The sequence below is a fragment of the Homo sapiens genome, chromosome 3, assembly GCF_000001405.40.
Source record: "Homo sapiens chromosome 3, GRCh38.p14 Primary Assembly".
Lineage (NCBI taxonomy): Eukaryota > Metazoa > Chordata > Mammalia > Primates > Hominidae > Homo > Homo sapiens.
Genome location: NC_000003.12, coordinates 30,616,223 through 30,628,653, shown reverse-complemented (window position 1 = coordinate 30,628,653; position 12,431 = coordinate 30,616,223). Strand labels below are relative to the sequence as shown.

The following is a 12,431-nucleotide window of genomic DNA, read 5'->3' as shown; positions in this document are numbered from 1 at the left end:
CATTTCAATGACTGAAACCTAATGCAGAGCCCAGGCACACAGATTAAGTTTCCAGTCAAAGCCCACACAAGCCTAAAGAAAGGAAATTAACATTTTAGAGAAAAAAAAAAAAAAAAAAAAAAAAACCCACAGGCTTTTTCAAAGGCTTTTTTTTTTTTTTGGAGGATTTAAGTCACAGCATGCCAAATAAAGGTGAGTTTCTAGGAGAATACAGCACAGAGGTGACCAAGGTGGGTGAAATTTATTCACAGGGGAAAATCCAAATGCCTTCAGGGAAACCACTTTTGCAGGGTTCTTCTGATAAATACTGAACCCAATTAAAAGCATCCCTTCAGGGCAAGTTTTCTCCTAGGAGATTTCTATTGGCCGCTTTAACTTCCCTTTCCCCAGAATTTCCAGGAGAAGTTTGTAACGGTTTATAATCCCTACCACTCCATGCTCATAGACTTTAAGCATATTTTTCTCCCACAAGGCAGTACTATTTTTATAATCCTTTTAAGATTAAAACTAAAAACACAGATGATTAAAAAAAAAAAAAAAAGGCCTGGCTGCATCCTCCTACAATAAAGTATTATAATTGCAGTGCACTACTAAGTAGTATTTCCACAAACATTAGACTATCTGGTTTCCAGGACAAAGAAACAGCCTATAATTCCAAAGCACAGGAATGGAAAAGTACAAGTAATTTAATCTGTCCCACTGTGATTATAGGTGCTAAGAAATTACCTGAACGGACCTCTTTGGGACTTGAGAAGAATGGGGACTTTAATGATGCTCCATAACTGCCCTATTCATTATGATACCCAAGAGCCACCTGTGGCTATTTAAATTCAAGTTAACTGAAATAAAAATATATCTATATTTGAAATTCAGTTCCTTATTTGCACCTGCTACGTTTCAAGCCACATGTATCATCTAAGATGGTCTCAGACCCACTGTTCAATAGAACTTCCTGCAAAGGTGAAAATATCTTATACCAGTGCTGTCCTTAAACCTTAACACAGCCCAGGTATAAGATATTTTCATCTCTGCAGAAAGTTCTATTGAACAGTGGATCTAAGACCATCTTAGAGAGATAATTACATAATTTTTCCCAATTTCATAATAGAGATTATGAAGTAACAGCCTCCAAAATACAGGGTTTTTAGGCTACTGGCTACCTTCTACACTCAGGTGAACTTTTTGTAGTGGTTTACACATGTGTACCAATTGCCCTCATCTCCCCAGTTTCAAGTACATTAAAATGGCATTAGATGTAATAAAATACATGCCACTGAGACTCAGCTCAATTGAAACTTGAGTTTCTTCAGAATTCCAAACGATGGTGCATCTCTTTCTGAAACCTGAAGTGGGGACTTGTCAGGAAAATGTCTATGAGGGAGGCCTAGGAAAAAGAAGGCATTTTCCAAAATTAATAAATTTATTTCCTTGTTTTTTGTCACACCTTATTCCAGAGGTGTCTCTAGGCTACTGTGTGCGGAACGAGGTCTGGACAGAACCTAATGATAAATTGGGGGATACTGAAAGTCCTGGCACTCTAAGGAGCTTCCCCACACATCTTTAGATTTTTATTTCCCATGTGGGAAAAAAAGAAAGGGATTTCCTATCTTCCCATCACAAACTCCTGGCTTTGCAGTGGTTTTATTACGTCATTCCCCTACTTACAATCTGCCAGTGACTCAGAGAATTTAGCCCAAACTGGCACTTAAGGCTCCCATAATCTGATTACCTTTCTGCTGAATAACTCCTTTTATCAGAAACCCTTTGACCTGATAATTGCTGGCTTTCCTACCACCAAAATTTCTACCTCCCTACCAGATCTATCAGGTGGATTTTAAGGTCAAGAAGAGCATGCCCAAGGCAGCCTGCTCAGCCCCTGGAAGGAGTTCAGTGCCTTCACTGTTGGCTGTGAGGTTTACGTGATGGAGGGAAGAGACTCCAAGAATGGTGTCTGAAAGGATGCCTGGTGTCTGATGCTGCCCCTCAGGAGTGGTCCAAGGTGGTTCAAATACTGCCTGCTTTGGCCATGGCTGACAGAGCTGAAGAACTGCCTCTATATGGTGTGTGGACACACACCCCAGGCAGCCACTTGCCGGCTTCCCTCTGTTTCCTTGAAGGAAGTGGAGTAGCATGGCCCTGGGGCTAACAAGTGAACAATAGTGCCTGCCTTAAATCATACCCAGCCTTTCAGACCCAGGTCAAGTGTTTTCTCTTTTGGAAAATCATCCATTCCCCCCACTACCAGCCCCACCAAGAGTACTCTGCCTCCTCCGGTTTTGGTTTTTAACCATCTTTACTGTGAGGTATGCTTTTAGATAGGCCTGTATTTGCTCTGTTCTGCAGATGAGTTTCCAAAACCTTCTAAAACCTTGCTCATATTTGTTATGCTGGATTTAAAGTCAACAGATGGGAGTTTTCAACCCAGTAAATGGAATTTCTTTGCTGTGGGAAATCAAGTACTTTGACCTCTCTGGTGAAATTCTTCATTTGTAACCTCACTGGGTTAGGCTAGATTAGTGTTTCTCAACATGGTTCCACATCGGAATCATCTGGGGATCTTTTAAAACAATAATGATGCCAAAGTCCTACCCCAGGGCAATGAGTCAGAACTTCTAGGTGCTTGGCTCAGGCTTTGGAATTCTTTTAGAAGTTCGCAGGTGATCCTAACGTGCAGCCAGGGTTAGAAAAATAAACTGAGTTCAGGAAGGGACTTATGCTACATGGACTGGAGAATTCAATAGGAAAAAATGTAGTAGTTAGAGATGGGGCATGGTAGTACTGGACAGAGGCAGTCAGGCCCATAGGTGTTGCTTCTCATCTTTGCCTTGAGCTGTAACTAGAAAAACTGCAAACTGCATTATAACCAGAACATTATTATATACATATACATGTACAATCAAGCCCAACCCAATTAATTTTCTCATATGACTCAAACTCTAGTACCATTTGGAGATGAGGCAGGAATCATAAACATAATTGGCTGCAGGGCATTTAGTTGCCATTGTATAAATTCTTCCTGAAAAATAATTTTAGATTAATTTTTAAGTGTGGATTTTACAATTTCCTATCTTTTTAAAGGGTGGGAATCCTTTGCCAATTCCCAAGAGGACAATAAGCTTAAAGGAAGATAATGTCTGAAAGATCTGAGGACCAAGTTTCCTGAGAAAGCTGTATTTCTAAAGTTTTGACCCTACAAGGCAACATTAAAAGTAAGTTCAAGGAAACAAATGTGAGAAAGCATATCTCCCTTTAGATAACCTAGCAAAGAAGTTAAGAAGGGAAATAGTTCCTTAGATCAGAATTAACAGTTGTGGATAGCCTTCCCTTCAGAAAATTGCAATGCTAAACAGACGTTACACAAGCAATATATCCCTGCAACTTAATTTCTCTTCCTAGGATCTTTAATATTTTTCTTTTTTTATTCCATTAAACAAATATATATTGAGCATCACCTATCCACCAGATCTGAAGAAACACTATTTTTAATATGTTCAAAATTTGAGTCTTTTCTTGATACAATAACATCTGCCTTAACAGGAATCAGTATGTAAAAATTACAGTTTTTAAAGAATTATATAAAAGGTATTATTCCAGAAGACTTGCTATGGAATCCCTTTTAAAAAGGGCGTTCAGAAAAAGGTAACACTGAAATTTATTACAGTTTGAAGAAAATCACTCCAATTATAAATCCATGAACCCAGTCATTGTTTAATGAAGCTCATCTTTGCTGGAAAATCCCCACTGAGAACAAAGCATCACAATGATCCACACAGTCCTAATCAAGCCCACTGGAAAAATCACCCTGAAGAACACTGGTGGAAAACAGAAAGAAGTCCACACCACAGTGTGAGAGCTAATTTAATGTGTTCTTCAAGAAAAATTAAATAAAACAATATGACTCAATTTTTCTTTTATGTTGCAAGAAAAATAACATTTATATAAAGCTAGTAGTAGAAAAGCAGAAGTATAGCTTAGCTTTCTATGATGGCAAGTGAAATAGTTTCTGCTAATCAAAGTGATTCTTTTTTTTTTTTCCTTTGAGACGGAGTCTTGCTCTGTCGCCAGGCTGGAGTGCAGTGGCACGATCTCAGCTCACTGCAACCTCCGCCTCCCAGGTTCAAGTGATTCCCTTGCCTCAGCCTCCCGAATAGCTGGGACTAGAGGCACGTGCCACCACGCCCAGTTAATTTTTGTATTTTTAGTAGAGACGGGGTTTCACCATGTTGGCCAGGATGGTCTCAATCTCTTAACCTCGTGATCTGCCCTCCTCGGCCTCCCAAAGATCCGGGATTACAGGTGTGAGCCACCGTGCCTGGCCATCAAAGTGATTCTTAGCCATTTTCTTTGAAAATGTCAGTCATAGAGGTAGGCTCTGTTGCTCTTCAATGTATACCTTCTTTTATATAAAAGCAATTTGACTAAATATTAGATGTCTGTGTGAGTCGTGTTCTGCTACTCAAAACACTTCTTGTTCTGTTCTTCTCTATATTTTGTTTATTTGTTTGTTTTTTGAGATGGAATCTTGGTCTGTTGCCCAGGCTGGAGTGCAATGGCATGATCTCGGCTCACTGCAACCTCCACCTCCTGGGTTCAAGCGATTCTCCTGCCTCAGCCTCCCGAGTAGCTGTGATTACAGGCGCCCGCCACCATGCCCAGCTAATTTTTGTATTTTTTAGTAGAGATAGGGTTTCACCATGTTGGTCAGGCTGGTCTTGAACTCTTGACCTCAGGTGATCCACCTACCTTGGCCTCACAAAGTGCTGGGATTACAGGCATGAGCCACAGCGCCCAACCTCTTCTCTGTATGTTTATTCAGACATTCATGTTTAAGAATTTCTGAGAAAGGAAGCCAAAGATAATAATACCTGACCTCTATGTCTATATGATGAAGAAGTGCACTTCCTATGTAAAGATGCCCGTATTCCTGATTAGGTTAAGCAACTTGAAGTTCTAGTGAGGGGCAAAACTACAGGACTGCAGAAACTGGCATAGCCTTTTACACATGGCAGCATTTGTCTACTGATAATGGTGACACAACCTCCAAGAGGGCAGACCACACGGTGTATTAAAGAGAAGCTGTCCCCATAAGAAAAGGGGAAAAGTAAAATGACTCATTACATAGTTTGAAATCTCTTATGATGGGTGGACAAAACCCTCAAAGAAGAAATTCTCCAGTCTTAAATTGGGCTTTTAATGTTCGAGGCAAGAACAAGTCTCCTGATGAGTACACTGCCATCGCCTCTTTAACAATTTAGCTATGAAAATATGAAAATACGAGGAGACTATAGATTTTTATCTTAGATTTACTTACAAATTAAGCAGTGAGGGAGCATGACTAAAAATAGAAAAATGATGAAAAGATTAATTAATGATACTTTACTATGTCTCAGTGGATGGGCAGTCCTATTACAGCTGGGGCAGATGATTTCATCTTTCTGGGCCTCCATTTCCACATCTGTAAAACAGGATAATTATATCCATCTCAGAGAGCTGTTTTTAAAATTACAGATGACAGGAAAGTGAAACTGTTTTGAAAATAATGAAGCTTTCTATTACTGTGAGATTATTAAAAGATTATTATAACTAGACATGGTCAATATGTTTTCTTCAAAGTTATCAGACTAGACATTTTTCCCTCTGGTGATCTTTCACCCATATGTCTCAATCATACTGAAATTATTCAAATCACTTCTTTTTTCTGTTTTCCTGGTACTAGTTTCTCTTTTTCTTTTTCTTTTTCCTTTCTCTTTTTTTTTTTTTTTTTTTTTTTTTTTGAGACAAAGTCTCGCTCTGTTGCCCAGGCTGGAGTGCAGTGGTGCGATATCGGATCACTGCAACCACTGTCTCCTGGGTTCAAGTGATTCTCCTGGCTCAGCTTCCTGAGTAGCTGGGATTATAGGCGTGTCCCACCACTCCTAGCTAATTTTTGTATTTTTAGTAAAGACAGGGTTTCACCATGTTGGTCAGGCTGGTCTCAAACTCCTGACCTCGTGATCCGCCTGCCTCGGCCTCCCAAAGTGCTGGGATTACAGGCCTGAGCCATTGCACTGGCTGGTACTAGTTTTCTATCTGCCTGAAGAAGTACGCAAATGACTATTTTCATGACTTTTTTTTTTGCCTTTAATATTATTTAACAGCTATTTTAACAATGAAAGACATTTTACATATTCTCAAAAGGTATGTACCAAAGAAGGGTGTGGGCAGAAATGTTCACAAAATCAGGACCTTTCATTGCATCTTGGTGACCACCAATAAAGTACACAGAAACCCATAGTGAACTGAGGTCTAAGTGGCTGCTATCAACCAACACAATCTTGAACTGCTGAGTCTGATCATTTCATTTTCTTAAAACTTCAGGACAGTTCAATTTAGAGAGCACAAGAGTGAAGTTAGCCTCCCTGGTCATCTAAAGCAACATGGGAAGGTAATTTAAGAAAAGTGACACCATATCAATCACTTTCCCAAGCTTTTCAGGGGCTCACTCCAAAGACTTTCTTGATGATAAATTTTATTAAAGTGCTGATCATAATCAAAACAGTACATTGTATCAGAGGTCAAGCATTGTTTTTCACTTCCCTTCCCAGAACTTATTAAAGATGTACCTCTGAAGAAAGACATAAGGAAGAACAAAATTGTTTTGACTCACAGAAAATGGCTTACACAGACATCTAATACTTAGTCAAGTTGCTTATATATATGAAATAAGTTATACCTTGGGAGTAACAAAGCCAATAGGCTTGGCTCATAGGGGGCTAACTACGGCTGCAGCAGTTATTCAAGAAGTTAACATATTCTCTCCTGTCCCCTGAAGACACCACAGGCATCTCAGTAATAAACTGATAACAACCAATACTCAAGAGTTTGTGAAAATGCTTTGTAAAGTGCTGAATAATGTAAGTGATTATCTACTTACCACAAACGTCCTCACCAACATCATCATTAAAATCTTGAAAGATAAGTGCTTTTCAGTAGTTTTGAGAGTGAACCAATGACATGCTAAATTAAAAGCATTATATTTCAACCATTTCCAATAAGTGCCACAGAATATTAAGACTTAAGAATATTAAAATTCTGGTCAGGTGCAGTGGCCCATGCCTGTAATCCCAGCACTTTGGGAAGCCGAGGAGGGTGGATTGCCTGAGGTCAGAAGTTCAAGAGCAGCATGGCCAACATGGCAAAACCCTGTCTCTACTAAAAATACAAAAATTAGCCAGGTGTGGTAGTGGGCACCTACAATCCCAGCTACTCGGGAGGCTGAGGCAGGAGAATAACTTGAACCCAGGAGGCAGAGGTTGCAGTGAGCTGAGGTCGTGCCATTGTACTCCAGCCTGGGTGAGAAGAACAAAACTCTGTCTCAAAAAAAAAAAAAAAAAAAGAATATTAAAATTCTTATTTCATCTCCTTTTCCTCTATAGATAGAGCAGGTAGGGCACTACCAGTCCAAATCTATGTAATGTGATGTCAGTGGTAGCTCCAGAATTCCCATAGAGGAGTGGCTACATGGGTGATGATCTGGCTGAAAGGGAGGCAGGCAACACAGCTGGAAGCTGTGCTTGCACAAGAGAACACTACTTGTGGTACCTAGACTGCATGTTTATTCAGGATGGATGGGGACTATGGTGGACGAGAAGGCTGAAGGCCAAATTCAAGACCATCCTTAGAAACCCACTCCTATTAAGCACCCAGGTAAGAAAGGCCTCATATTTAAGTCTCCTTAGCATGTATCATTTTAACAGGGCTTTCCAAAAAGTACAACCAGGGGTCACCTTTGCAATATGGGATTATTTACCCTCAGGTAGGTAGAAGAGTATCTTCAGGCACTCTTCATTGCACCAAGACCCCTTCAGCCATCCCTATTCCAGCAATCCCAATGACTGAAATCATCTATGACTCATAAAGAGAAAAGGCAGGAGTGACAAAAAATTGTCCTGCGTGAGATGGTGTGATTTACTTTATGACTTTGCCTGGTCTCTATAGTCATAATGCATTGAGCCTTCTGCAAAAGATTCACACATGAGAGAATAAATGAATCAAAGGCAGAGCCAGTGATGGATGGAAAATTAACCTTAACACCCACACACCACAGCTCCCCAAAATTCACAGAAACTAAAGACTGCAGACAGAGCAAGTCTCCACTGTAAAGAACAATTTACACAAAGCAGATCATACGAGATTTTCCATAAGCCTATGGTTCTGTCAAACAATACTACAGGTGGCTTTAAGCCATTGACATTTACACTTGGTGGTGAAAAGCCATCTGGGAGAAAAAAAAATAGCACTCCCCGCCTTGGATCTAAAAGCAAGTTTCCTCGGCCTTTAAAAGCAATGAATTCCAAACAGCAACAAACAAAACACATAAACAGAATTAGTGAGAATCTGTGCTAAGAGCTATGGCAAAATCAGACAGAAGTTTCTCCCTCAAAGAGTTTTCATTCTAGTAAGAGTTTTGTTTTGTTTTGTTTGTTTTGAGACAGAGTCTCACTCTGTCGCCTAGGCTGGAGTGCAGTGGCGCGATCTCGGCTCACTGCAAACTCCGCCTCCCAGGTTCACGCCATTCTCCTGCCTCAGCCTCCCGAGTAGCTGGGACTACAGGCACCCGCCACCACGCCCAGCTAATTTTTTGTACTTTTAGTAGAGACAGGGTTTCATCGTGTTAGCGAGGATGGTCTCGATCTCCTGACTTCGTGATCCGCCCGCCTCGGCCTCCCAAAGTGCTGGGATTACAGGCATAAGCCACCACGCCTGGCTAGTAAAATAGTTTAAAACACACAGAGACAGCACAGGTAGCTTGGCAAACAAGGTCATATGAATGAGAATGCAAGGCTTGTCGGAGAGGCTATGGGCAGGAAAAGGAATCACAGTGGGATGGATAATCAAGGAAGGCCCACTAGAAAAAGTAACATTTAGACCAGGCGTTATTTCAAAGGGTGGAGCCGTTGTAGGGCACAAATAGAGAATGGTAAAACTTGGGGGGAGGTGGTGGAGAATGGTCACAAGCTAGGAAATTTGTAAGCAAAAAGGATGTGTGAGGCAGCTGGGTTCAAGTGGAACCAGGGCATGAGGGATGTGAAGGGTGGAATAGATGATGGGCAAGAGGTTTGGCTTCATCTGTGCACGTAGTCATCAAACTGGTCCTGTGTCCCATCAGCACAAGGCACTCTCTTAGGAGCCAAGGGACACTGAGGCAGCCCCCATGCTCAAAGAGAAAGGGAAGGCCATGTGATGATCTAGGATTCATAAAATCCATGGAAGGCTTTCTAACAGAGGCCAGCTATTCAAAATGCCATCTGGGGGGAGATTTAACTGAGGGCAATGCCTGTGTTATTGACAGAGAAAGAACAAAGGGTGTCCATAAGCAGAGACCAATTAGGTGATTTTTACAGATGACAAATATAAGAGTTCAGGTTTGTGTTACGGTAGCATAATTCAAGGGCAAAAATAAAACCAAATGGTTATAGATTTTGCGTAACTTTTCTGATGGATAACTTAAGATTTGATGCAACAGGAATCACCATGAGATATGAGTTGCAATGGAAAGTTTTTATGTTTTTTTTTCTTGCCAAGTATAGTTCAGATGTCAAAGGCAAAGAAAAAAAAGTCAGAAAATAAAATTATTTGGAAACATCAGAAACTGCTTGTAAGGACTGGTTATTGTGGCTACTGTTAATTAAGAGCATTAATAACTGACAGGGACCCATAATTCTGGAAGACAAAAGTAACTAAGTCACAAAAAGCTGCCTTATGATATTAAAATAAAGGAGCAAATCAATGAAAAAGCCTACAGTGGCACTCTCAGAAAAGTCTAAAACAAATGTTGAGCAATTCAAGAGAAATTTATTGGGTCTTCACTGAGCATCAGACAAATAAGTTCCTCAAGACAAAAGAGGATTAAAAAATGTTGAAGAGTAAAACCACTTCCTGAAAACCTGTCATCGAATCATTAATTTATTGGGTACCTACTTTGTATAGAGCAGAGTGCTACCTATTTTAAGAAATGCTGTGGTATAATAGCTCCAGAATGAATTAGGGCCTACATATGTCAAGGCAATCTGTGAGTAAATGCCTAATGAGGTAAACATGATTAATGCAGTGAGTTCGATATAGAAATGGGTCCTTGGGGCCGGACACGATGGCTCGTGCCTGTAATCCCAGCACTTTGGGAGGCCGAGGCGGGCGGATCACGAGGTCAGGAGTTTGAGACCAGCCTGACCAACATGGTGAAACCGTGTCTCTACTAAAAATACAACAACAACAAAATTAGTCAAGTGTGTTGGTGCACACCTGTAATCCCAGCTACTCAGGAGGCTGAAGCAGGAGAATCGCTTGAACCCAGGAGGCAGAGGTTGCAGCGAGCCGAGATTGCGCCACTGTACACCAGCCTGGGCAACAGAGCGAGATTCCATCTCAAAAAAAAAAAAAAAACAAGAAAGAAAAAAGAAATGGGTCCTTGGGTTCTACAGTTCACCATGGTCAAGGGATGGACAATCAGTGGACAAAAGACTCATGAAGGATGACTGGGGAAACAGACTGGTTAAAAACTGACTCATTTAGTTGACTTGCTACCAGTGCCTTCTGTCTTCTGCTAGCTTTAGTTAAAACGGCTTAGGAAGAGTCAAAAGACTCTCATAAAACTAAGCCAACTCTTCCTTGAATTCTCCTCTTCTTTATTGACAGAAACAAGCCTGATGTGATCCACTAAAACCACTGCAGATCATTTGGCTACTCTTTGGAACATGCTTTAATGCTATTACAGCAGTGTTTTTCAAACTGCTATGTGTACAGGAATCACCTGGGGACCTTGTGAAAGTGTACATTCTGTTGCAGTAGGTCTGGGGAGAGGACCCACAATCCTCATTTCCAATAAATTCTCAGTGATGCCAGACCTCCTGTAAGCGGCAAGGTATTAGAACATCTTCAGTTGCTGTTATCAGAAGATGATAGGAAACCATCATTTTCGGGGTCAGAATGCTGGAGCTCAAGCTTTGGGCCTTGATGCATATAATAACTCATAAAATGTAATATTCAGGAAGGAATGAGGCTCCTAAAGAAGTGAGAAAGTAGAATGAACAAAGGCCTAAGAGAATAGAAATGTATTCTAACAATATAAATTATAAAAATAAAAGTAAGAGTGCCCAGGGGTATTGAGATTGTTAGATTATTTTATAATGATATAACTTAAGGGATTCCAAAATAATGAACATAAAATGTTATTATTAGATTTTTTTCCTTTTCACATACTTGAAGGACAAATTATATCATATTGTCTTTTTTTCTTCCCCAATACTATGAGCGTTAGAGAATGAGACGCAAATCCGATATGTAGTAACAAGGTAGTCACTCACAGCAAAAGTTGAAAGATTCCTAGTCTACGCTAACAAGTGTCTGCAAACTCTACAGAAATGCAATTAGAGGTTGCGGCAGCTACTCCCCTGCCTAAAACAGCAGTCTGAAAACTGCCAATCTGTTGCAAATTCTGTCTTTTCTGAGAATATTTTAAGAAAAGTGGTAGAGAAATATTTGAAAGGCAACAGAACACTAATTATATCTAGACAAGTTTCCTTTTTTTTTTTTCCCAAAAAATATGAAAGTTCCTTTAGGCTTTACATCTCCTAGGCATAGCAAAGCATTTCATAACTTTCTACCTTAGGAAAAATTTTCACAGACATTTTAACCAATTCAGAGGAAGGGGAGAATGAAAATACCATAATTAACCAAAGAGGAATAATATTACCACCAAAACCAAGTAAGCCTTTTATTTAGGAAGGAGTGAGCTCTAGCTGAAGTAAACATGCTATTTAGTCAGGATGTATGCTCAGACACCTGTAGTCGGAAATTTTCAAAATAGCTATGGTTTTTTTTCTTCTCTTTTTTTAATAGTAGTCATCTCCAATGAACACCAGTGGAAGTCTGTGGTATTTCTCAGTTCTGACCTGTCATGACTTTTGTTAGTTTTCTATTTTGATTAGCTAAAGATTTTCTAACTCAACTTCAATGATTTATTCTACTAACAAAATAGTACAGGGATAACAAAGAATGAAATGTTTCAGAAGAGAAAATACTGGAAATCTTATTTAGTCCAATTCTTGTCACTGTATAGAAGGAAAATGAGCCCCAGTGGGAAGAAAGACAGCCTGGTCACCCAGACACCTAGATTCCTGGTACAACATACCTTAGTCTTTACCAGCTGTCTCCTAGGTAGAGTCCTTCTAATCTCAAACTAAGGGTCAGAGCTAGGTTATCTTTCATCCAAGATGAAGGTTTGTGATAATTACATCTTTGCAACTTCTTTTCTACTTGGCATGGGGCTCTAAAGTAGGAAAATGATGAAGGGTTTAGCTAAACCTGGAGGAAAAATATTTTGGTTTTGTGAAATAACAATGCAGATTTCAGTCTCTGTTTGCAATGGGGGGAAGGAGGAAGAGGCATTTTTT

The 12,431-nt window shown here is 40.0% G+C and overlaps 1 protein-coding gene and 1 pseudogene across 16 annotated transcripts in view; one reads left to right on the top strand and one right to left on the bottom strand.

Annotated features, from left to right (window-relative positions):
• TGFBR2 (transforming growth factor beta receptor 2) overlaps positions 1–12,431 on the bottom strand; it is an 87,787-nt gene that overhangs the window by 65,489 nt on the left and 9,867 nt on the right. For 6 of the 16 annotated variants that reach the window (NM_001407133.1, NM_001407126.1, NM_001024847.3 and 3 more), the window contains exon 2: positions 5,381–5,455. The exons of 9 other annotated variants lie outside the window; for them this stretch is intronic. Coding sequence is in view for 5 of the 7 variants with exons in the window: in NM_001407126.1 (NP_001394055.1) it covers positions 5,381–5,455 (75 nt within the window). In the remaining 2 variants the exon portion in view is untranslated. Of the gene's footprint in view, positions 1–1,271; positions 1,385–5,380; positions 5,456–12,431 lie in introns of all 16 variants that reach the window. One more of the 16 variants, NM_001407136.1, reaches the window with a different exon arrangement.
• KLHL25P1 (KLHL25 pseudogene 1) lies at positions 1,857–2,231 on the top strand (annotated as a pseudogene).